This window comes from Homo sapiens, chromosome 3, assembly GCF_000001405.40.
Source record: "Homo sapiens chromosome 3, GRCh38.p14 Primary Assembly".
Lineage (NCBI taxonomy): Eukaryota > Metazoa > Chordata > Mammalia > Primates > Hominidae > Homo > Homo sapiens.
In genome coordinates this window covers 78,826,611-78,854,298 of record NC_000003.12, presented here as the reverse complement: position 1 = coordinate 78,854,298, position 27,688 = coordinate 78,826,611, and the positions used below count along the sequence as shown (strand labels likewise).

The 27,688-nt window shown below is 34.6% G+C and overlaps 1 protein-coding gene across 18 annotated transcripts in view, besides 1 other annotated feature; it reads left to right on the top strand.

The window, feature by feature from the left end:
* Positions 1-27,688, top strand: part of ROBO1 (roundabout guidance receptor 1) — a 1,170,760-nt gene that overhangs the window by 913,700 nt on the left and 229,372 nt on the right. The window lies entirely within an intron of this gene.
* Positions 7,146-7,440: a silencer, noted in NCBI's record as "tiled region #7147; HepG2 Repressive non-DNase unmatched - State 6:EnhF, and K562 Repressive non-DNase unmatched - State 24:Quies". NCBI's record gives its function as "represses a minimal TATA promoter and a strong SV40 promoter by Sharpr-MPRA in HepG2 and K562 cells {active_cell/tissue: HepG2 | K562}" and the evidence as "EXISTENCE:reporter gene assay evidence [ECO:0000049][PMID:27701403]".

Below are 27,688 nucleotides of genomic sequence, written 5' to 3'. Positions count from 1 at the left end.
TTTATATATAATACATCATATTGATTATGTATATAATATATATATTATATATATGTATGTATTCAGGGGAACCATAGAGAAATGGCTCACATAATTGTGTGACTGTGGGGGCAGGCAAACTGAAATTTACAGGGCATGCCCACAGATTAAGGACTCAGGGAAGAGTGGATATTGCCGTCTTGAATCCAAAGGCAGTCTGGGGGCAGAATTATTTCTTCCTTAGAGAACCTCAACATTTTTTCTTAAGGTGTTTGATATGGATTGGCTGTGTCCCCACCCAAATCTCATCTTGAATTGTAGCTCCCATAATTCCCATGTGTTGTGGGAAGGATCTGGTGGGAGATAATTCAATCATGGGAGTGGTGTCTTCCATACTGTTGACCTGGTAGTGAATAAGTCTCATGAGATCTGATGGTTTTATATGGGGAAACCCTTTTCTCTTGGTTCTCATTCTCTCTTACCTGCCACCACATAAGATGTCCTTTTTGCCTTCCGCTATCATTGTGAGGCCTCTCCAGTCACGTGGAACTGTGAGTCCATTAAACCTCTTTTTCTTTATAAATTACCCAGTCTCAGGTATGTCTTTATCAGCAGCGTGAAAATGGACTAATACAGCGTTCAACTGGTTGGATGAGGTTCAGCCACATTATGGAGGGTAATTTGCCTTACTCAAAGTCTACTGATTTAAATTTTAATCACATCTAAAAAATACCTTTATAGCAACATCTAGACTGCTGTTTGAACAAATGACTGGGTACCATAGCCCAGCCAAGATCATACAAAATTAACCATCACAATATATAAATAAATACATACATACATACACACACACACACCCCACACATACATACTATATATGAAATACAATATATATTATATATGTATATATACTGTATATATATGCACATATCCTATACTTAATATTTGTATGTATATATACAAAAATTACATATTTTCTCTCTCTAAATATAGAGAGTGTGTATGTGTATTTGCTGCTCCTCAGTTTTCTGTCTCCTTTATGTGCTACTTTTGCTTAACTTACCTCCTCCTTTCTTCCTCCCTCCCATCACCTCTCCCGTACTCCTTTTCTTCCATCCTCCTTCCTTCTTCTCCCCTGCTCTTCAAACCACTTATATAACTGATGACTCCCAGAACTGTCTTCTAAGCTACAGACTGATAAGTGCCAAATGTTTACTATCATTTCCACTTGAACATCCTGTAGTCACCTCAAAAAGCAAATGTCTGAAATGGAATGTCTAATTTCCTCCAATCTGTTCCTTCTTTTTTTCTTGTCTCCATGAATGAAATTGGCCCAGACAGTTTTTAATGCCACCTTCTTTTTTATATGCATAAACCTATGAACCATTCTATTCCCATTCAGTGGCTACCGTGAATAGTATCTGTTGGCCAAATAGCTCACAATACATCACTACCATTTGTCTTTTCTTAGCTGGTGCCTTTGCCTATATACTTCATCCCTTTGAAACTGTGTTTGTCACACAGTTATTATGAAAACCTATTTGATATGTGAATTCAAAGTTATCATTTCCTTCCTTAAGATCTCTCAAAGGGTCCTATTGCCTTCATGGTAAAATCCATATTCCTTAGCCTGTTACCCAAAGTCTTTCATGATTTGATCCCTGCCTAAATCCTTTGTCTCATTCACAGGAGCCTTCCTTCTCATTGCTAAAATAACAGGGCATAAAATATTGAGGACAAAGGATTAAACACTGGGCAAGCATTAAATGATTCTAATGAAAAATTACAACAAAAATGAATTAAATCATGATGCTGACCACAGTTTTTTAAATAATTTTTGGTTGGTGATTTCTTAATAATAACTGAATTGCCAGTCTCCTGTTAAAGAGTTTTGTCACTGGAAGTATATTTAATAAGAGTTGTTATAACACACTACACTACAGAAAGTAGAACTGACATTCTCTTCCATGCCGAAGAGAGAAATCTCTTATAATGATAAAGATTCTCATTTAATTGGAGTCTCTAGATATGTTACAGAGGTTTAAAGTACTTCTTCCACAAATCATCTTTGCACTTCTACTTAACATGTATTAAATTGCTTTGCTTAATTATAAATATCCTATAATCCTAAATGAGATCCCTAAATGGCTTTAGGGATTGATAGAAACCATTAAAAATGAACACATAATAGAAGTTATGTTTCATTTCCTAGGAACTGATTCTAAATTAAAACATGGATTAAATTTCTGGGAATAACTATACACATTATTTAATGTGTTTCTTAAATTTAAAATATATGAAGAAATTATTATTCATAACCTTATTGATAACTGGCCATAAATGGCCCATAAATGTTTGCTTATACTGTTTAATATATTATCCTAAAAAAAATCACTCAATTTTTAATAGTTTTTTTAATGTGTTGGCTGACAGTCTATACATTATTTTGGATTAAATGAAGAGAATTAACCTAAAGAAATCAAAATCTCAACAGCAATGACTGATTTACCTATTATAAAAGTTATCCATGCTTTTTGTTGTTTTATTCTTAAATATTCTATTAACTTGCTCATTGTATTATTTGTACTTTATATTGATGAGGATCAATAAATGTTACTTGACAGTACTGATGTACAATTTAATAAAATTGATTTATATATTTTCATCTGCTTTCAGGTGCCCTTTCTGAATAAATTTTTATAGTTTATCTGTGAGAATTATTAACCATATTTAATAGATAACCATATGGTAATAAAACAGCTAACAGTTATTGAATGTATTCTGTATGCCAGGAAATGTGCCAAGTGCTCTCCATGGAGTATAATATCCACAGCTACTCTGTGATGAGGAAAGTGGGACCTGGTTAGTTAGAGTCCCGACTTACCCAAATGCCATAAGGACTGGTAACTCTAATCATTGTCTTTTTAATGACAGTATTCATACGTAAACTAAGAAGCATGTGCTTTTAAAATGTAATCTTATATGTTTAGAATTATTTAAAAGAGGTCTAGTTAAGAGCAAAAGGTAATAAAACATGTTATCCTTTCAGTTGAGGTGTTTTCCAGACCAGAAAAGGACTTTCCAGAGACAGAATCATCCTGTTTATCTTCTAGAATCTTCTGCAATTGTGTTTTCTACCTTATAGTTTAAATAGACCAATAAGAAGGACCAAAAACAACAACAAAAAATGACACAAAGAAAATGATAGGTGTGACCGGGCGTGGTGGCTCACACCTGTAATCCCAGCTTTGGGAGGCCGAGGTGGTGGGTGGATCACCTGAGGTCAGGAGTTCGAGACCAGCCTGGCCAACATAGTGAAACTCCGTCTCTACTAAAAATGCAAAAAATAGCCAGGCTTGGTGGCAGGCACCTGTAATCCCAGCTACTCAGGAGGCTGAGGCAGGAGAATCGCTTGAACCCAGGAGGCGGAGGTTGCAGTGAGCCAAGATAGCTTCATTGCACTCCAGCCTGGGCAACAAGAGTGAAACACCATCTCAAAAAGAAAAAAAAAAGAAAAGAAAAGAAACAAAGAAAAGAAAGAAAATAACAGGTGTAATTTACTGCATTGAGTGGTACCCCAATCCAAGAAGCAGCATTTCTGTTTGACGTCCTTGTACTCCACTATCATCAGTGCTCGTGCCTTCCTATCTTGAGGTTATCTCATCACATGGCCTGTTCTTATTCTCATAACCCTCCTCCATGTAACAGTTTCTATGGGATTTTTGTTCCCTAAAACCCACAGATATTTTTGTTATAATCTGTATTACATATTTGCTCCAGTATTCTACCTATGACATTTATTACTGAGCAGCAGAAGAGGATAACATAAAATAAGTTATTATTTTGTTATGTTTTTCTTGTTTATAACCATTATTTTCTGTGTGACTGCTTTATCCCTTTGTTATTAAACTTGTTATCTGGTTTTAAAGTTAATATTAAAATTGCTGAGAAATTTTAAAATATAGACTAGTATTACTTCCTTTCTTTTATTCAAAAAATTATTGTCCTTATTTAGCTACTCTGAAATAAAGCTTATTAACACACATTTGAAATTCTGTAGCCAAAAACAATGCTCAATGCCATCCCAGAGGGGTAATTTATAGTCATGTATCACTTAGTGACAGGGATACATTCTGACAAAGGTGTCATCCAGTGATGTTGTGGTTTTCTGAATATTCTAGAATGTGCTTATACAAACCTAGGTGATATAGCCTGGAACACATCAAGGCTTTATGATATGACCTGTTGCTCTAGGCCACAGACCTGTACAGCATGTTACTGTATGGAACACCGTAGGTAATTGTAACACAATGGTAAGTATATGTTTATCTGAACATATCTAAACACAGAAAAGGTATAGTAAACTACGTTATAATATTTTGAGACCACAGTTGTATATGTGGTCTGTCATTGACTAAAACATTGTTATGCAGTGCATGACTATAAGAGTGTGTGTGTGTGTGTGTGTGTGTGTGTGTGTGTGTGTGTAATGGGAGAGAGAGACTGACTGTAAACAAAAACATGAAAGGCCTATTCTAGTCTTATCTGTCTGAAAGATATTTGAAAATCATGAATTAAACAGTAAAGGTTAGATGTTACTCCGAGAACATGCTTTGAACCTCCTGTCAAATCTCTTTACTCTTACATCTTATGTACCATAGCTACAAAAGGAAAATGATATGATGTGATTTTATATATATATATAAAACTTATTTTTAAATGACACAAAGACAACATTCTGTGATATTTATTTTCAACTTTTCTTAGTTGTTATTGTTATAATAACTCCAGACTATCAAAAAGAGACTAACTGTTGCTTTGTGCGCTCCCAAAGGGGTGATAAGTAAAATCACTTTCACTCAGCCAGACATGTGAAAGTGCTGTCCTAAAAGGTCCTATAAAAATTTGACCATTTTTTCATATGTAGTTATAACATGATATAATGAAATGAGAGATAAATTGGGGTCCAAAATACCGAGGTTTCTGCCAAAAGCTCTCTAATAAACATGTGTTTATGAGAACATTTGCTATGTTTCCCTACAAGTAAGTGAAGGGAGTTGGTTAAGATCCCTTAAACTTTTATAATTTCAAAGCATTGCTCCACGGAATTGCCCACCCATCATGCCCACTAGAAGATCTAAAACACACCTCAAGCTTACTGTGTCCAAAACAAATATTTAAAGACTACTCCACTCACGGAATTCCCCAGATCAGTAAATAGAAATTCCATCTTGTATTTGCTCAACTTCAATCCCATGATGTCACCCTTGACTCTTCTCTTTCCTTTCATGCCCCCCATCCAATCCATCAGAACATTCTGCCATCTCTACTTTAAACATATGTCCAGCCTCTCATCCTGATTTTCCACCACCATTACTATGGTAGACCGAGCCACCATCATCTTTACCTGAAAATTAGTGCGATAACCACTTAAGTTAGCTCCTGGCTGGCTTTCTCTGCCCAGCCCCCACACCCTCTTTCTTCTCAAGGCAGCTAGAGTGATGCTTCTACAATGTAGGTCAGGTCATGTGCTACTTTAAACTTGGAGATTAGACAGACTTTAAGATAAAGTCTCACTTTATGTCAAAGCCAAGATCTGTGGAAGGATTACAAACCTGATAATGATCGCTGTCCTTCTTCACCCAACCTAATCCTTTCTGACCTCATTTTTCCCACAGTGGCTCACTTCTCTCTAGACTTGCAGGACACCTTCTGCGTGGACCATTCTATCCCCAGATGCCCACTTGGCCCCTCCCTTCTCTAAGGTCTGTGCTGTACAAGAGTTGCTAAGACAATTCCCTGACCTCCTATATAACAGCAACCTGCACCTCATTGTATACTTTCTTACCCCTTTACTGTGCTTTAATTTTTCTACTTAGTACTTATCACCATGACAGCAGAGACGCCTTTGTTCACTACCTTATCCTCAGAATCTAGAACAAATTTAGTTGAATGAATGATTGACTGAATGAAAATATTAGGTTGGTGCAACAGTAATTGTGGTTTTGCCTTTAAAAGTAATGCAATTACTGTTGCGCCAATTTAATATTTCTTAGGGAAGTTGTGATGTAGCTTTTTTAAAATTTCTACTTTTAAAAGTAGATAAATAAGTTAAATAAATAAACATCTATTTTGCCCTTTAAGATAGCTAATAGGCCAGTTTGAACTAACATATTTCCTTGGTTGTTGAGAAACTATAAAAACAGAATATTTCCTGTGTTCTCAGTGTTACTGCAGTTTGTTTTCAAAAAAGTAACAGTGTTCTTAGCATCAAAGCACACAGTTTGGTTTTATGTTACCTTTTGACAGGAAAAAATGGGAAAAAAAGTCAGAAGGATTATTAGTTACTTGATCAATTTTATAGCCTATTGTCATATTTCTCTTTTTCTAAATGCACTGTTGCTACACATACTAAAACCATTTTATGTATATGAAGTATCATACATTCCGTTATCTTAACTTTTCACTTTACCTGAAAGCCTGACTCATTGCAAATGAATGGTGAAGAATTTCTAGACCAAGATGAGCTGCTCTGGTTTATTTCCACCTTAACTTGCTGTGTGGCCTTGAAGAAGTTATGTGGCTTTAGCAAATTAGGGCCCTTATCTTTAAAATAATCGTAATAATAGGTATAATAATACCACTCTCTCACCTACCTAACTGAGTTGTTAAGGTTAATAAGATAATGGCTGTTTAGAATTTTTTGAAGTCCTTCGAAGGAAGGTGTTATTATTTGAAAAGGGAAGTCTTACATTTTTCTGATATTTATAATTATTTTGGAGAAGTGCTCCACCCAGATATTTTGGCATAGCTTCCCTTACAGGTTCCTGGAGGCATGTTTGCCTTCCTTAGACAACTATTTTGAGGTACAACTTCAGGTACTCTACATTCTGGCGGAACTAATCTCCACGAGCTACCAGCTTTGCACATGCGTTCTGCAGTATAGCTGTTAAAAAGTAACACACGGTGGCCTGACACATTTCTGGTCCCTATTATGTAAGATACACATTTGCCAAACTTCCATTTTCTATTACAGTAAGTTGAAACTTTAGAAGTACCTGTCCAAGGTAAACTTAGTTTCTTAAGAAGTTATATTCCATCCTCCATATGATTTCATTTAGTCAAGATAATGTCTCAGAAGTGGATATCTTTAAGAATCTAAGAGGATTTCCCCTTCCCTTGCCTTTAAAAAAAATCATTTCATTTTGCAGCCTGGAGCCTAGATTTGATTAATCGATTTCCCTGTTCTATTTAAGGATTGTTTTTATTAATGCACTTTTCAAGCTGAGACACAGCATTATCGCCTTCTCCATCATTGTACTAAGTGTTGAGATCTGAGCAGGCCAGCTGTAGCAGCTGTGTTTCCCCTTGGATCTGAAAGCTAAAAACTTTCATCTCCTTTGCTGTCTCAGCTGCTAGTCTGAGGCTATGGCCTTCCCATAACTCAAACCAGTTTCAAAGCAACGTAAGTAACCTCTTTGGAATGCTTTTGGAAAACCACAGAAAGGTTCTTTAAAAGTACACCACTTATATACTTTAAATGAATGTTTCCATTTTAAGGTAATAACAGCATAATGTCAGGAGTCAACAGATGATATTTAACTACACTTGGACATAGTGTAGACATGTCTATATAGACCAATTATAAAAAAGAAAAGAAACACCAGAATCTTGTGTTGGTATCCTCAAAATGATCTGATAGTGGTGGAATGTCTGAATCAAATATTATATTTTCAAATATTCTATTTATAAAGTGATATTTTCAATAGGCTTAAATGCTTTTTTCTGATACAAAATAAAATGTGAAAAGATGCCATCGTGAAAAATAAAGATGATATTGATTATCTTTACTGGTGAGAAGGCTTGAACTCACAGGGAAATGTCTAAGAGTGGACTTTGGTTTACTTGGGGTTTGGGGAGGATTTGCATCCATTTTAATTGCAATTAAATTATCAGTAAAATAAAAACATGGCTGCTGATTTATAAGACTGTAAGTCATTTGAGTAAAATTTGACATTTACCTCCAAGAATACCTCTGGACAAGAAGAACAGCCTTTGTTTTTTATATTTGTCTTGGCTTCATGAAGGAAATTACCACTGGAACTTCACTTGTACTGACTATGTGGTGACTTAACTAAAACTCCATGTTGCAGTTTTGTTTGTAATTACAAAAAAGATTACACATTAGATTTTACATTTATATCTTTCTTACCATCTCCCTAGTGTTTAGTGGCGAGAAGCCTCATCCTAGGGCAATTGGCAGAGGAAAAAAAAAATCTTTGGGGCTAATTTCTATGTGTACTTGAAATGTTATATAAAAATAAACCAGGTTTCAATGTTTCAGAGTCTCCAAGGGCCACCTTTACAAACCAGCGAAGTAGGGAACACTACCAGAGTACAGGAAGAATAATTTATTAGTCTGAAGAATTCTGAACACATTGTTTTTAAAAATGATTTACTGCATGGATTTCAAAGCTTTTCTTCATAATCACGTGTATTACCTTATCTGAAAAGGCAGTTTATTGCACTTTTCCAGAGCAACTGCTTGTGCTACTGGGGGATTAAAACAGGTAGACATGCTACCACTTTCCCCTCCGGGGGTTCCCCAGACATGATGGGCATTAGGCTTAGCTTCTAGTGACCTATTCTTGAACCTGTGCCATTCAAAGACAGCATTTGCTTGTGTATTATTTAGAGGGGCCTTTTAAAAAATTCTGTATGCTTTATGAAAATATTTTCTATAATTTATTCAATTTCTTTCCAGTAAATATTTTTCTTTTCATTAGGAAATATATGTGTGTCTGTATAAACACACACGTAGATATCACACACTAAAGTGTATACATATAAAATACAAGAGAAATATACTGTAAGCTACAAATATGAGCCACATGTGTAATTTTAAATCATAGCAACAATAAAAGGAAAAGGAAAAAGGTACAATCACTTTAAAGAATATCATTTAACCCAGTATAATGTGAGCACTTTAAGGTGTAAACAATTTAAAAATGTTAATGAGATCTACACTTTTTTCATATTAAATCTCTAAAATCTGTGCACATTTTATACTTACACACATCTGAATTCATGAGAGATCTACACTTTTTTCATATTAAATCTCTAAAACCTGTGCACATTTTATACTTACACACATCTGAATTCATGATATTCACAGTAGTTAGTGGCTACTTATTAGGCAGCAAAAGGATAGGATACATGCACACTCAAAGACTTATTTTGTAATAAGTCTTAAGGTAGAACTTGAGGAATTCTAACCAAATCAAATTGTGAACATTTTTTTCTTCAATCTACAAGACTAAAGTTGATATCAGAGTGATCTTTAATTTAACATAATTACCTTAGTTATAGACATATGTCTTCAAATCCACAAATGTTAGGCACATGCTTATTTGGTGGTGCACTTAATCCTACACCCTCATTTTCTAGAGACTGCTTTGGAGGAATTTCAAGGTTTTACCTACACTCAAATGGAAGCAGGATTCACTAATTATTGAACCATGAGGCCATCCTAACGTCCATATTATTCACAGAATGTATACTTTCTTGAAAATATATGTAAAAATTTGCATTTAAAATATTTTCAGTGTTAGATTTTGACTTTAAACTTGTATTTTGTTATATTTATGTTTATATTGAGGATCAAGTGTATTTTCAGGTGAGGTAAAAGAGCAGGGAGAACAATGTTACCCAAGCACACGGTATCCCTGAACCCTCTAAATGATTTGCCCTTTGCTCATAAATCTTTTGCCATGGTCAACACAAAGCCTAGTATTGATTTACCAGCGAACCATCTTGTCATCTCTGGGCTCAGGTCCTTTGACCTTTTGTTTGTTCCTGTAAAATTACGGCATATCACAAACTTCTTTTCTAATAGGTCCTTTAAACTTTGAAAGGCCAAGAGACTCTGCGGGAATATATTAAACAGTTGGATAATCCAGAAAAAGGAGGTTAAAAAAATAATTGCAGACAGGTAAAGGTCAGAAAAATCTTTATTGAGTCCAAAAACACAAACAATTCTCTTAGAAGCAAATGACAGAGAAGGAGAAGGCCTCCGTTTAGTTTAGTTCTAACTAAATTCACTTTGAGTTTCTTAGAAAGGCAAATATGTATTTCCTTCATAGTAGCTTAGTAGGGTACAAAGCAAATTTTAAAATGTGGCTGCTTCTAAGCAATGTAAAGGGAACACAAAAATAGCAATTTAAACAACTGTAATCCATATAAATGGAATGATCACAATTTATTTCTCAAAATACCTGTATTGGCATAAAGTGATTTAGTGGAGTTAATACAGTCTTCTTGGTGCTATTTGTCACACACATATAGGCAGGTAAACCCTACAATTGCTGATTTACAGATAAGGCAAAGATAAGTTCAGTAGCCTGCACCTTAATGAAATAAATGTGGGGAATTAGGATTTCCACTTTTGTTCAGCTTATTTCATATTCTTTGACTTAATTGATTGAGAGCTTAATTTATTATATAGGTCCACCACGTGATAATTCCTCTGCTACATATATATTTTATTGCCTGCAAAGAGATTCTTCTCGAACTTTGATTTCTAGGATTATTTTTGCTACAGTTCTATGAAAAAGAATGAAAGTTAGCTTTGCATTGTATATTGTATCATTTGTTTTCAGATTATTACATATCTCTTGTTAAAACTTTTGGAGAAGTATATTATTATTGAAGGAAACTTTCTCCGAGACATACTCCGAAACCTTCAGCTGAGACAAACAGGTTCATCTGATACCTGTTTGTCTCAGGTGATGCTAAAATGCTGTTTTTTCTGCAAGTATAACCAAGTGATGGAACATCAGAGGGCTTTTGGAGAATTGAAGTATATTTAAACAAGAAAGTTGGGCCAAGTATATACCTAAAAAATGTTTCACTCCTCCTTAACAGTCTTTTGCTGAGATCTGTAACACTGTTAGAAAAGGGAATTATGACTTTAAATTCTGCCTTATTAAAGGCGAGTCTCAGTCCCCAATCAGTGAATGAAGGAGGTATTGATTTTGAGTCTGAAAACCAGATTATTTATTTAAATTTTTAAATAGTTAAAACATTCACATAGTTTAATATTCAGAAATTTTAAAAAGGATATTCAGTAAAAGTCCTTTTGCTACCTAGCTCTCCTCCACAGGAAACCCCCAAATTACTAGTTTTAAAAAAATTCTTCCAGATAAATTTTAAGCACATAAAACAAATACATGCTTATCATATAAATAGTAGCATGTTATACATTCTGATATCAGTGCATAATAAACTTCAATCGTATTGAGCTGTATAGTATTCAATATGTGAATTAAATACTTTATCCATTTCCTTCTTAATAAACATTTATATGGTTTCCAATCCCTCTAATGTAGCAAATAGCTCTGTAGTGAATAATCTGGTATAAATGTCCTTTTGAAAGTATGTAAAATTATCAGTAAAATAAATTCCTAGAGTTAACTCACTGCATCAGAAAGTATATGCACCTGTAATTATTTTTAGGTATTGCCAAAGTTTTCTTCCTAGTAGTTGTAGAAATTATTGCTCCAATAGCAAGGCAAGATAGTTCTCATTTTTTAAAAAAAAACTAACCAAAAGTTATTTTTTTTGCCTACCTGATATATCAATATACTTTTAATGTACATTCCCTTTATTATGGGCAATGTAGAGTATTATTTCGTGTGCTTAGGTGCCATATATAAAAATATATATATGGCTCATATATAAATATATAAATGGCTCATATATATAAATATATATGGCTCATATATATAAAAATATATATGGCTCATATATATAAAAATATATATGGCTCATATATATAAAAATATATATGGCTCATATATATAAAAATATATATGGCTCATATATATAAAAATATATATGGCTCATATATATAAAAATATATATGGCTCATATATATAAAAATATATATGGCTCATATATATAAAAATATATATGGCTCATATATATAAAAATATATATGGCTCATATATATAAATATATATATGGCTCATATATATAAATATATATATGGCTCATATATATAAATATATATATGGCTCATATATATAAATATATATATGGCTCATATATATAAATATATATATGGCTCATATAAATATATATATATAGTACGTGTGTGTGTGCGCAAAAAAAAAAAAAAAACAAATTGGCGATTCATTCTGAACCATTTTATCTGCAGATGGCCTGACAGGCAGCAGAGGAGATGGCATTTTGTGCTTTTGTTGCTGATGTTTGTGATCTAAGGCAGGAAGATAGTTCAAAGGAGAGCAAACTGAAGTGGTTCAGGAAAAGAAATGGTTTTCATATCCTTACATAGTGACAAATCTGAGATTTTCAGTCTATAAAGATTGAGTTTGAATTGGATATGATTAAAATTGATAAATCATGCTGTTGCTAGGATGAACATGGATTTGTTACTAATGAAAGGGCTTTATTAAAATTTTAAAATAGTTTGTTTTAGAAAATCTGTTTTTCCATGTTTCTCTCATTCGTCTTTTTCTTATTGATTGGTATGAGTTCTTCATATATTAGGGAAATTGGCTATGTCATAGGAATTGCAAATATTTTCTGTTTCTCATTTATCTTTTGTTTATGGTGTTTTGTGCAGTACAGAAAATTGGGGTTTGAGTAATTAAGTTTATTGATTACTTCTGTTTTTTTATGGATCTAGCTTTTGTTAGAAAGGCCTTCCCTATGCCCAGGGCTTAAATTATTTCCCCCATTATTATTCCACTCCACTTATGGTCAAAATCAGGTAACTGGGTCGAGTCAATTGTCAATAATTCTGGGCACTGTAACTGCTCTGCTGATTAATCATGGCCAACACACTGCAGAGACCTTGTACTTGTTCTGATTGAGGAAGGGAGGAGTTCTTTATGTTTCACAAGGGACTCAGCCCCAACATTTGACTGAACCTCCTTTAAGCCCAAATGGTCCAGCAGTAAGAAGCTGTTTAATTTTAAGGTCTGCTGGGGAAATAAGTGAAAACCAGATTTCCCCTCTGGCTTATTCATAGTTTGTGTATGGTCTGATAATTGAGAGTTGACAGTAATTTAGTTTTACCTGGGATTTTGGTTTATCCATGATTCTTATTCCTCATTATCCTATTTTGAAGTTGACTCTGTGTTATTAGTGTATATTATTTTATTAACATACAACATTGCCTTATTGACATTAAAAATAATGAAATATACTATATAACTTACTTTTTTTTTTTTTTGAGACACAGTCTTGCTCTGTCACCCAGGCTGGAGTGCAGTGGCGTGATCTTGGCTCACTGCAAGCTCTACCTCCCAGGTTTACGCCACTCTCCTGCCTCAGCCTCCCAAGTAGCTGGGACTACAGGCGCCCACCACCACGCCCAGCTAATTTTTTGTATTTTTTCAGTAGAGATGGGGTTTCACCATGTTAGCCAGGATGGTCTCGATCTTCTGACCTCATGATCCTCCTGCCTCAGCCTCCCAAAGTGCTGGGATTACAGGTGTGAGCCACCGCACTCGGCCTATAACTTACTTTTGATAATTTCATTAGTAGAATTAGAAAGCTTGCTCTTGTTCTGTTTGCAACAGCATAAATAGAAATTGACTTTCTATGTTAACTGTAGTTTAATATTCACTTGAACTAAGTGTTTCAATCTTATTACTGAAAGGATTGAGGTTTGATAGTAGAGTGAGTCAGTTATTAGCCGTGTAACCTTGCACGATTATTAGGTACATGGCTTGCAAATGCGACCTCTTGCCTTGGCTTTCTCATCTTTAAAATGTGAATATGAGTACTCTTCTCAGAAGATTGTTGTAAGAAATGAATGAATTAACAACTATAGAGCATTTATACTCATGCATGGCACTTTATTGAGGGCTCAGTAAATTTTAATTATTTTAAAAATATTATTACTCTTGTCCCTATTATGAAATCCAGATTCAGATAATTTGATAGAGGGTGAGTATAAGTGGTAGACTGGCTATAATCTATGGACTGTTTGTTTCATATGAAGGTGCAGTTTTATTCACTTTCAGATATTACCAAATCGCAGCATTTTGTTTTTAAACCTCTGAGACCATATCTATTTCCTTTGGATGATCAGGACAGCTGAACATCTAATCCATTCATTTTGGCCCTCATTGTGATTGAAACAGCTGAATTCATCATACAATGATGTGCTTTGATCATTAAGACAGCCAAAATGAAAGCATTGGCCATGCTGCCTAAGGTCCATTTATTTTGGAAATAACTTTTGACAGGTAAGACACAGTCCCGTATTGCCTTCCTGACATTTCATTGATGTCTTCTGCAGCTTCTGGTAGCATATTCATCATTTAGTTAATACGCTTTTTGTTATCATTTGTTCACTGTTATCTTAATAAAAGTAAACAGATGATTCATGAATTCATAGGGCTGATTCATTCAGAACCATTTTATCTGCAGATGGCCTGAGAGGCAGCAGAGGAGATGGCATTTTGTGCTTTTGTCGCTGATGTTTGTGATCTAAGGCAGGAAGATAGTTCAAAGGAGAGAAACTGAAGTGGTTCAGGAAAAGAAGTGGTTTTCATATCCTTACATAGTGACAAGGCTGGGATTTTCAGTCTGTAAAGATTTAGTTTGAATTGGATATGATTAAAGTTGATAAATCATGCTGTTGCTAGGATGAACATGGATTTGTTACTAATGAAAGGGCTTTATCACAATTCTAAACGATTTTGTTTTAGAAAATTATTTAATGAATATTACTATTTGTCTTTTTTATCCTAATATTTGTTTAATTAATTTACTATGATGCTCCATTAATGTTATCAATGGAGCATCATAGTAAATTAATGAAAAAAATTTCATAGTAATGAAAAAAAATATTCTTTTTTCATAGTAATGAAAAAAAGAATATTCAGTACAAACCCAAAAAAGTTTCTGGACTAGGGAAGGCCACCTATCATCACTATACATCATTACATCATACATTATTATACATCATTACATTATACATCATTATACGGATACATCATTATATGTAATGATACATATGATGGTAGTAGTAATAATTTTTAAAAAAATAACTTAGGATCAGGTGATCAAATATTCTAGCGATCAAACTTTTGTCTTGAATGTTGGACAACTGTGATGCAATGCAATGAATCTTAGCTTTTTACTCTTTGGTATCATCTGGAGAATTCAGCATCTCAGATCAATATGCCTTGGGCAAGAATTCTCAACTAAGGGTGAGAAAATGATAGACCTAAAAAATGATCTCTCTGGACATCTGGAATGAAGGTTTATTGTTTGCTTATCAAACAAGGTAATAGTTAAAAATAGTTGAAAACATGACACTAGCCCAGAGTAAACAATGTTTAACATCTAGATTTAGTCAAGGAGTGCCAGGTTTAATCTAAGAGTGCCAGAAATGTCCATGTTGGGGAGTGTGGGATGAGGAATAAGGTTGAGAGTCCCCTTCTCTTTTTGGCCATATCTTTTTGAGCAAAGACATGTCTAAGTGGAAGAACTGAAAATAGTGATAGGCTGCAAAAGTTTGAATGATTGTCCCCCAAGGCTAATGTTGGACTTTGATCCCATTGTTGGAGGTAGGGCGGGGGTGCTTCCCTCATGAGTAAATTGATGAACTTTCTCAGGGGTAAGTGAGTTCTCGCTCAGCTGGGTCCTTTGAGAACTGGTTGTTAAAAAGAACCTGGCACGTCCCCAATCTCTCTCTTGCTTCCCCTCCTACCATGTGATCTCTTGCACATGACACTCCACTTTGCTTTTCACCATGAGTGGGAGCAGCCTGAGGCCGTCACCAGATGCCCAGTCTTCAACTTTTCCAGACATGAGTATTGTGAGCCAAATAAACCCTTTTTTCCTTTGTAAGTTATTACCCAGTCTTAGATATTCCTTTATAGCAACACAAAACAAAGACAGGCTTTGAAAGTCATTCAATCAAATAATCCACAGGAGGAGAGCCAGACAAGATTGTTGGTCATGTATTCATCCTGAAGTACACGTAGATTGTGATCAGTGCCAACCTGGCCTTTAATTATGATGGACAGCTTTTTTCATTTCTGCAGTTTCTTTTATAATGACCATTTATGGAATCACTGAAAAAGAGGCATAGAAAGGTTAACTTGTAAGTTCTTATCAATCTGAATTAAACTTTAAAAAACAGGAACTAAACCCAAGATGTTAGTGTATTAGCTGTATTTATGATCAGCTTCCTTATGTGTGTAAATATTCAGTACTATTACTAATATGGAAGTCACCTGAAATTGTGATGTAGTTTTTAAAGATAAAAGTGAAATGCTGAAAATGTTCAGGCATATTTACAAATGTTGGCATTTAATTGGATATTAACATTAAGTTAGTAGGTTGACGATATTTGCCATATTTATAATCAGAATTAAGCATTATGCAACATGGCATGTATTTTCCCATCTATTCATCTTGTATTTGATATTTCTGTTTAATCATGTGTATATGTGTTGCTTTATATTGGCCCTGCGTATTTTTTTGTTAATTCAATTTTCGTATACTTTATATTTTTCATGGCTTCAATGACTGGATTTTTTTTGGTATTACTTAACTGGTACATATAGGAAAGGAAACATTTTCATTATTTAGTTTGAATGCTTTCTTATATATTCCCATGGATTTTCAGCTGATAAGTTGTCACATAAGTGCTCATATCATCAAAAAATGATAGTTTTGCCATTTATTCTTTTCCTACTTAATTGCATGGGTATCTCATTTAGAATAACAAAAAATAATTTTGACAGCATTTTTTCTCTTAGAATTTAATAATTCTACCCACTGTTAAACATTGTTAGCTATTGATTTACTAGATAGAAATACCTATTTTAAATCATTTTAAGCAACTATTTTTGCTACTATCAGTAATGCTGTACTAAGCAGAATATATATTAAACAAAAGTCCCCATTGTTTGGTAGTATCATAGGAGAGGTTTCTTAGGCAGATTCATGACTGTTGAGAAATTTTAAATCATGCATTTGTCTATTAACTCAATAAAACCACCAATACCTTTTCTTTATTTAAATTTTGTGCTTACGTTAGGAATGGTTATATCCAACATTGAAAACAATATGTAGCAACTTAGAATGATTAAATGATTTTTAATTGTGAAGAAATTTGATGAACCAACACTTAATGTTTTAATTATCGTATGTCATTTATTAATTGATTTAAAAGTCAATTCATCCGTAATTATGATTTTATATCCATTTTATATTGTTTTTATTTCACACTTTTTACAATATAATTACAATGTGTTTAGGTTTAGGCCTGAAGATGTGATGAGCAGATGAATATTTTCTTTAATAAATGGACAGAAAGTTGTATGGATGTGATAATGACCTCTTTTTGTGTTGCTCTGTGTCTTACAGCAGGTGTTTTCTGTGCTTCCCCTTTCTTTTAGTATGAAAAATGATTTTAGAAGTTATGAGATTTGAGCACTGTAAATTAAAATTGCTGTAATGTTTCTGTTTTCATTCTTACACCAAAAAGAAACATTGTTTACAACCCAATTTTAAGGAAGTAGGAATGAAAATTTTAGAAGACTATGATGTTTTTCTTTATTATCATACAGGTCAGTTGACCACCTTATACAAATTAATACAAAGTAAATGGTTGTTGTTCTGTGTCTTTTTGGTTTAGCCCTAGCAAAAAAGTTATTCTTCTTATTATTATAATCAATGAATTGTCTGCATTATACCTTCTAATGGAAACTATTCAATAGGAGGGATTTTATGTTTTTTGAATAATTTTTTTTTTTGGAGACAGAGTCTCGCTCTGTGTCTCAGGCTGGAGTGCAGTGGCATGATCCTGGCTCACTGCAAGCTCCACCTCCCAGGTTAACGCCATTCTCCTGCCTCAGCCTCCCGAGTAGCTGGGACTACAGGCACCCGCCACCACACCCCGCTAATGTTTTGTATTTTTAGTGGAGACGGGGTTTCACCGTGTTAGCCAGGATGGTCTCTATCTCCTGACCTCGTGATCCGCCCGCCTCGGCCTCCCAAAGTGCTGGGATTACAGGCATGAGCCACTGCCCCCGGCCTGAAGAAATTTTTAAATGGTAAGATTCATAAAAAGATTTGTAGAAAGCTTTGAAAAAAAGCTAAGTTTCTTTCTTATAACTGGAATATGAAAATTAAGGCATTTCTAAGTATTGATTTACAAATTTTACCATTAGGCATATTCTGTCAATCTTTGACAGAGTAAGAGACATCAATTGATTTAGGCAGCATTGTCCAATCATGTATTTTATCATTTGATTTTACTAAAATCCCACATCACTAATTTGTGTACTATACATTTGGTGTAACCCAGTTGGAATAATTCAATTCCATGACAAAATAAGTGAAGTAATTTAAATTTTTCATTTAAGTGCTTAAGGAAAGTATTAAGATGATATGGACAATGTCAGCCCTAACAGTACCATTAATTAGACTTTTGCTTTTCTAAGATAGGAATAATTTTAGTTGAAACCCTAAATATATGACTATGGCTGTAAAATGTTCAATTTGGCGGTCTTACTACATTGAGATGTAGAAGATGAATATAGCAGTTAGAAAATACAGTGAGTTATGCATTTTTCAGTCAATTAAATGTAAGAATTTATAATTCATAGATTGATCATTTTTTAGACAAATTGTCTGCTTAAAACTATGGATATATGCTTTCCCAGTAGGATTTTTACCTAGAAATTACTATTTTGTAATGCAATCTTAAGCACTCCCTATAGGAAATTTAGCAGACAACATTGTAATGTGAAGAATATAGGCTACTGTGTCATAGCAATGTCTTACTTATTTTCATTTGGAGACATTAATAATGTTGCTTATAAACCTGTGGCACTGAATCACTGTCTTTTAAAAATGTAATGTTCAGGTGTCTTGTCTGCCAAGTTATAAATTTCATCTCTGAGTGCTTTTCTGTGTCTTTACTAGCAAATGCTTATCTTGGTGTTTTCTTGGGATAATTTACTTTTCTACTGATTGCCCTTTGTTCCATCTAGAAAGCAAAATAAGACAACATTTGGAGAATATTATTAAATACATAATTTGTAATGACATTACTCACAGAAGAAAAAATATTTTAGTTTCTTGACGTGTGGGGCTTGAGGGAGTGATTGTGATGGAGCCTCCTGTTCTGTGAGTAATGAAAAAACTAGATGACAAAAACATCTGTTTAATATAGAATGGACATTGATTCATCTCTTGGCTTCCCTCTGTTATGAAAGTCCGTCGAAAATGGAAAAATCCCACTAGTAAAACAAATTTAAATGTATTGTTATTAAAGGTGTAGTTGTGGACTCAAGTTGGACTCTACACTTTTTAATTTCATGTCATTATATAAGCAAAAGTTTACATTGTAGAAAAATACTTATGTCTATAATCAGTATGGAAGAAAGAAATTTCTGTACCAACTGTTTAGTGCAACACGATTGTAGTATTATGGAAATATAATCCTTTAAGTAAAAATTTTTAGACCTGCTTTAAAAAAATGAAGTCAAGAATTTGGCTACTTCAGTTGAAAACCAGGTCAACCCCTCAGGTCAGCTTGGTTAGACAGTGCCTAGTAACTCAAGGCCGGATAAAGAAGATTGTCAGTAGATTTAGCAATATTTGTCTTTTAAACTTGGTTTATATTTTTCAAAGAAATTAGCTTGTCTCCATGTTAATAATAGTTCTGATCATTATATAGCATATGCACCCTGATGATGAAATGAATACATATTTGTGGTTTTGATGTTAATATGGAAGTGCTGGAGATGTATTTCTAATAATCAAATATGAAAAGCTCACTTTATTGCTGTCTTTTCCTACATCTAGTTGCCTGCTCTAATATTTGTATTTACTTCCTCTGACCCCCGCACCATCAAGTTATTCTTTCCTTCTGTCCATTCAAACTCTCACTTCCTGTTAACTTTCTTCTAGTAAATACACCTAAGCCGTTCCCACCAAAATAACTTCCTCAAGAACAAAATTTATTCCCAGATTCTCTTTCTCCCTGTGCCCCTTCTTTCTCTCCTCTTTATTAGGACTTTTTGAAAGTTTAGTATATCCTACTTATTTTAGATATTAGCCTTCCATTATCTATAAAAACTGCTTTAATCTTGTTTCGGTCAACACCACTTCATTGTATCTCTTCCTAATTCATTCACTGTTGTCCTTCTCTTTGTAGTACATAAGCGATAATTTTCCATTTCCTACCTTACTGGATCTCCGTACTTTATTTTGAACTTTCATAATATTACTTTGTCAGATTCTGTGAGATTTTATTCTCTTAAATAAGCTTCCCATCCCCTTCTCTCTGCTTATCCCAGAACTGGTGTTTGCCAAAAGTCTGAATGTAGCCCATTGTTTTGTTATTGTTTTATTATTTCTTGTTGGTGCTTTTACTCTGAATATTCCTCCTGGTTTGACTTGTTCAGGATCAGAATGCCAAATATCATGCTGAGTTCTCTTCCCTCACCCCTCAGTTCTTTCTGTGTAGTCTCAGAATTTTTGTACCTAACTGCCTACTGCTTATTGGTCATTTCCACCTTTATTTACCATAAGCACCTAAATCATAGGTAAATGTATGGAACATTAATTGAAGGCCAGGCTCAGAACTAAGTACTTTATGTGTTACTTCATTGATTCCACACAACAATCCTAAGAAAATATCCTGGATTCTCTTTTTCCCTGTCCCCCTTCTTTCTCTCTGCCCCCATTTCTCTCCTCTTTATTGGGACTTTTTGAAAGTTTGATATATCCTAATTATTTTAGTACAATTAAATATATTTTCATTGTTTTGTATAATTAAATATCTTTCATTGTTATTTGTTTTATACAATTAAGATTGGTTTCATACAATTAATTTTAAAAAGATTAAATCTCTTTTTCTTCAGTATTTTTTATATCTGTTGTGAGTGCAACCACGTATCTGGCCCACTAAGCTAAAAACGAAATAATCCTTGACTTTTCCCTGACTGCACTTCTGTCCTATTCCCCACCTCTAATTAACTGTGAAACACGGCTTACTTTATGAACTAGTTTTATGAATGATTTCTAACCTTTTTTTTCATCCTTATTTTTCATTGCCGTGCATTGAGCCCTTATGATCTCTCATGTGGACTATTCTAACAGTGCCTTCACTGATATCCCTTTGAAATCAATCCTGCAGAGAGTGGCCACCGTGATCTATCTAGAATGGAAATCTGACCACATCATTTACTTGTTTAAACATTTGGCTTCTAATTACCTACAGGATAAAGTCCAAGATCCTTAGCATGCGATGTGAGGCCCTCCGTTATCGTGCTCCTGCCAGATCAATGGCCTCCTCTCTAGTCATCCTATACTTTCTAGCTTATTGTATATTAAAACTAAACTGTTAATGGTTTGCTGAATACAGCACCTTGTTTCTCTGCTCTGTGCTTCTACTTGGGTTGTGCTCTATACCAAGAGTGCCTCCTCTCACCTTTGTATTTCCTTTTGGACTTTTCACTGTTATCCTCAAGAAGTACCTCTAAGGTGTTCTTCCTACCTAGCCTAGTTTTTTCTACCAACCTAGTTCACCTAGTTTCCTGCCTAACCTCGTTAGATATCACTCTTCGCTGCTTCAAGAATACTAAAGCAACACTCCTGATATTAACCTACTACTCAGTTTTGTGTGGCAAAACAGAGATCACATCCTATTTGTCTTTGTGTCTCTGGCTGTTAGCACAAAGTTAGCACTTAATTCATGCTCTACAATGTTAGTTGAATAGGTGAGTGACAGAGTTTGTTATCCTCAAGCATCACTGTTTGTTAGTGAGAGGCAGATGTCAAGTAGCTCATGACGTTACCCCTCTTCTGAGTAAAGGAAAAGGAGTAAGATACACCAAGGTCTCTGTGGCCCAGTAATTTAGGCTGAGATCTGCTTTAAAGGCGGAGGCATATACACCTGCATAAATATCTATGTTTACACAAAGAGCAAAAGATGAATCAAGGAAAATATTTTGAGTTTAGAAAGGAAAGAGACTGTGGAGAAAGGTTGAGAAAAGAACCAGCAATTTAAGATGTGTGTAACATTGAATTATCATCTATGAGTTACTGAATGGAGAAAATGAATCTCTTTCAAATGAATAGAAAGATGGATGAGGATCTTTGGGTGACTCTTTTTTGTTTTGAAAATTTAAAACAGCTTCACAGGTAGAAAAAAATAATAAAATTAACCCCCATGTGTGCATTACTAAGTGTTAACAGTTACAATATTTACCAAAGTTGTTTCATTTATCATTTCCTCATACCTGATATGGTTTGGCTGTGTCCTAACCTGAATCTCATATTGAATTGTAGCTCCCATAATTCCCATGTTTTGTGGGAGGGACCCAGTGGGAGATAATTGAATCATGGGGACGGGTCTTTCCTGTGCTGTTCTTGTGATAGTGAATACATTTCACAAAATCTGATGGTTTTATAAAGGGGAGTTCCCTGTACACCCTCTCTTGCCTGTCACCACATAAGATGTGACTTTGCTCATCCTTTGCTTTCCACCATGATTGTGAGGCCTCCCCAGCCTTGTGAAACTGTGAGTCAATTAAAACTCTTTCCTTTATAAATTACACAGTCTTGGGTACATCTTTATGAGCAGTGAGATAACAGACAAATACAATACCACACACTTTTAGTGAATGGTTTTGAGTGGTGAATTAGTCACATATAAACTATCTCATGTCATTTTCTGATAGGTAGGATAATCTGCTATCTCCTCTGTACTGTGCACAACTGAACATCTGTGCTGTGTATTTTATTAGTTAACAAATGCAGTAGGAGACACAGAGAGTATAATGGAGATGAATTCATTTAATATCTCTGACATGCAGTTTACAATCAAAATAAGTACCAAATAAAAACATAAACTACTATTTGCAGGATTTTTTTCCACTTATATATTTATGTATTTATGGAAGAACTTGTAATTTCATTTTTTAGGCAGGTCAACTTTGGTATTTGTGTCACCAAACCTTTACAAGTAATTATTATTGTTTATATCAGAGTTTCCCATTTGTCTGGGAAACACTGAATATGGCTTTAAAACCCAGGGTTACCGGCCGGGCATGGTGGCTCATCCCTGTAATCCCAGCACTTTGGGAGGCTGAGGCGGGTGGATCACGAGGTCAGGAGTTCGAGACCAGCCTGGCCAACATGGTGAAACCCCGTCTCTACTAAAAATAGAAAAATTAGCCAGGCGTGGTGGTGGGAGCATATAATCCCAGCTACTCAGGAGGCTAAGGCAGGAGAATCACTTGAACACGGGAGGCAGAGGTTGCAGTGAGCCGGGACCCTGCCATTGCACTCCAGCCTGGGTGACAGAGCGAGACTCCATCTCAAAAACAAAAACAAAAACAAAACAAACAAACAAACAAAAAACACAAAAAACAACAAAACAGAGTTACCAAAGTAGAAGCTGTGGAGTGGTAGTTCATCAGTAATTATCCAAGCCGTGTTCTAAATCTATTTCTAGATTTATATGCTGGAAACTTTCTGCTAGAAATTCATGAGAATTTCTTTTCCTGTTGCCTCTACTAATTCACAGATTAACATAATGAGTCATAATAATCCCCACATGTCGTGGGAGGGAGCCAGTGGAAGGTCATTTAATTATGGAAACGGTTTCCCCAATCCTGCTCTCATGATAGTGAGTTAGTTCTCACAAGATCTGGTGGTTTTATAAGGGCTTCCCCTTCACTGGGTTTTCATTCTTCTCCTTCCTGTCGCCATGTGAAGAAGGATGTGTCTGCTTCCCTTTCTGTCGTGATTGTAAGGTTCCTGAGGCCTCCCCAGCCATGCTGAACTCTGAGTCAATTAAACCTCTTTTCCTTACAAATTACCAGTCTTGGGTTTGTCCCTATTAGCAGCGTGAGAACAGATTAATACAGTGGATTATAATCTCCAGGGATTCTTCCATCACAGGAGTATGCAACATACATCTGTGTTCAAGTCATGAAGTAATATGGTCAGTGATGAAAGAAACATCAGGAGAGAATATTCTGTTTATGGTAGTGGGCCTTTGTTCTGTTATAATTTGATGCTGAGAAATGTAGGGGTGAACCTTTTAACAATTTAACAGAGACCAAGAGGCAGAAGAGACACATAGAAAGAAAAACGAGACTGGCTGCATGACTGAGCTTTTGTCTCTAGCCATCATGGGCGGATTTGTTTTTCTGACTTTTAATAGAAATTGGATGATGATTATACAAATCCACACTTGGATTTGTGTCACCTTTATATTTACAGCCACACCACACCTATTACGGCTATATAAATTGGGTAGTAAAACCCTGTAAAATTCACCCATAAGTTTGTGTTTATTCATCCTGCCCAATTTCTCTGTTTTTATGTTTTTAAAGCCCTAAGAAAAGGACAGTTTTAAACATGCCAATAATGATAACAAATATTTCTAGATTTCCATCATGAAATATGTTCATACAGCCTGGTCCTTATTTACCCATAGAAACAAGTCACACAACCAACTTCTAACCAGTATTTCTCTTTGTAAGGGAGAATTAGAACTCTTATCTACAACGCTTTTCTTATCTCAAGAGGGAGCATTATGGTTTTCTTCAGGAGTGGAAACAGGCACAAATCTCAGGGCCCATTCAAGAGAAAACAGTAGAGGGGGAAATCATTAGTTCCTGTCGACATAGCCATATTCACGCTATCACAGATCTCCCCTCATGTTGCATGGTGGAGGGGGATGCAAACACACTGACTAGCTCTTATTAGCTACTACACAGATGTCTTGAGGGCAGAAAAATGGACTAGAAGCAAAAAAGGTACAAGACCAAGGCCAGACCAAGCCTACAGAGCTAATCTTGAGCTATCCCCTTAGATTGTGAATGATGCCACTAGTAAAGACAGAAAAAAGAATCAATGAAATTTAACAAGTGTATCTGTAATATATTTTGTTTTCCAAATATATTAAAAATTACACTTGCTTTTTAAAAATGACAGTGTTATAATAACTGTAATTCTTCCGAGATAAAAGGGGAAAAAGCCCTTTTCACTTCATCAAGTATTTATCGAGGACTCACTCTGTTTCAGACACTGCTAGTTTTTTAAAGGGAATTAAATTAGACAATGTAATTACAAATTTATTATCCTACATACTTGAGATGGAAGCTTAATATTATGTTTTTATTACATGACTAAAATCACTAGAATATTCAGATCTTTCTTAGTGTCTTTCCTTACCCGGCTGCAAACCACTGTGCTCTTATGTCATTGAACTTTGCCTAACGGTGCTCTGTAATCTACTAAATGATTCCCTGAGAAACATTCCACACCGCTTCTAACATTAAATAGTTTATTATGAGAATATATGAAAGTTTTTTTTCTATAGTTAGCTAGTTGGTAAACTGCCAGGTTGCACGATTTATATTAGGTAATATTTATATACTTGATTTGATGTATTCTTAGGTCAGGAGCTTTCCCAAATGGGGAGCCACCTATAATCATGGAAAGAACAGGAGACACCAAGATTTCTGACATCCTTCTATGCCTAACAAGCTGTTTGACCTTTGTCAAGGGCAACAGTTTGCTTGTCTTGAAAAATGAGGAGAAGAGATCAGAAATATTCTGAGATCCAATAATGGTTACAATATTCCATGATTCTGACATACCCAAATGATCAAAATTATGAGATTGTGTACTTTGGGATTGAATAGAAAATTTTCATTTCTTTGTAATTAAATTCACACACCTTTCATTATCCCATTTCTATGATGGAAACATTTGTTTTAGGGTTAGTATGGTAGCGTGAAACTTGCCTACCAGTAAATTATTGTTCTTATGCTTGGATACATGCAAGATTTTCCTAGGTCATTAAGCACACACATTTTCAAATGAAGACTACAGCAATAAATTAATGTATTCTAGCAGTGCAATCTGTTCCACTGACCACCTTTTGCCCTATTGGAAATTCTCTGGAGCTTGTTAGAAAATTGGCCTTTAGACAAGATAAAACTACATTCTGGAAGATTAAATATGTGTAACATGGAACTAAAAAATGCAACATCAGTGAAAATCAACTTGCAGAAAATGAAGTTTATGCTGAGAAGAAGAGGAAGTAAAATTAATATTTCAGTCAGATTTCTTAGATACTGGATAAGCTAATCTACCTTCCCACTTTCCACACTGAAACTTCTCTGATTATACAAAGCAAACGAATCTAGCAACAGAGTTTGGATTTACTTTAAACATTTGGGTGGTATACATTAAAATGTTAATAGTATCTGTTTTTATTTTTTCTTAAATTGAGTCTTTCAGCATCATTTGATGGTTAATATTATGTGTCTACTCGGCTATGCCATGGGAACCAAATATTTGATCAAACATCAAAGTAGATGTTACAATGAAAGTATTTTTCAGATTAGATTAACATTTAAATTAGTAGACTTTGGTAAAGAAGATCAACCTCCAAATTGTGGGTGGGCCTCATCCAATCAGTTGAAGGCCTGAAGAGAAAAGGACTGAAGTTCCCTTAGGAAGAGAACATTCTGCCTCCAGACTGTCTTCAGATATGAGCCGCCACATTAGCACATTAGCTCTTCTCTGCGTCTCCAGCCCACTGGCCTATCCTGCAGATTTCAGAGCTTCGAACCCCCACAACAGCATGATCCATTTGTTTAAAATGAATCTCTCTACAGATAGACAGATAGATACACACACATGAACACAAGCACACACACACAACACATTCTTTTTCTCTGGAAAACCCTGAGCAGTATACACTAGAAAAACATGATTCCACAAATAAAGATTGTGGAATATTAGAAAGACCACTGGCATGCACCTGCTATATGAACTTGGATTAGCCTCTTTAACTTTAGAAGCTCAGATTTATTATTTATTAATTTCAGAGATTGAACTACATTTGTAAGTTTTTAGCTTTTTTATTCTTAGAAACAAAGTATTATGGTGTAGTGAAGTAGACTATCCCTTATGTTTTCAAATGAAAAACAGATTTACATATAACAAGACAAGAACTTCCATTCCAAGAAGGCTAAAATATATAGTTTAATCATACTTTGCTGTTTAAACATAGTATTTAGCAGTATTTCCCCACAATTTCACATAAGTTCTTTTATTCTTTTCCTACCCAATTGAAACACATGGATTGAGTATTCTATATTCAATTGAAATTAAAATTAACTTTCTACATGTCTATTTTAGATTTATAATTATATTTGAGGACTATGTTTATAACTACTAGTCAGCATTTAGTTTCCTATTTCCTCTTTGTTTTATATAATATAAATAAAATTTAAGTACGTATAAGTATGTATATGCAAAATCATATGTTAAAACAACTATAGAAACATTGTTGTCCAGTAAAGATGGCAGCTACCAAATTTGAAACATCAACTGTCAGGTTGTGTTACCAGAAAGTTACTTCAGCTGAGGTCCCAATGTTTCAATTCACAATACAAAAACAACTGGAGGGTGTCAATACCTAATGTATAAATGTGTAGGTTGTATAAGAAACAAATATATCGAAGTGATAACTATAATAAACTGCTGTGGTTGAAGCCAGGATTGGAGAACTAGATCCTGCCCTATGCATATCTATCCCTTTACTTTCTTCTTCATAGCAACACTTGAAACAATTCAATGGAACATTTTGCTGTCCAAGAAGCATAGATTCTAA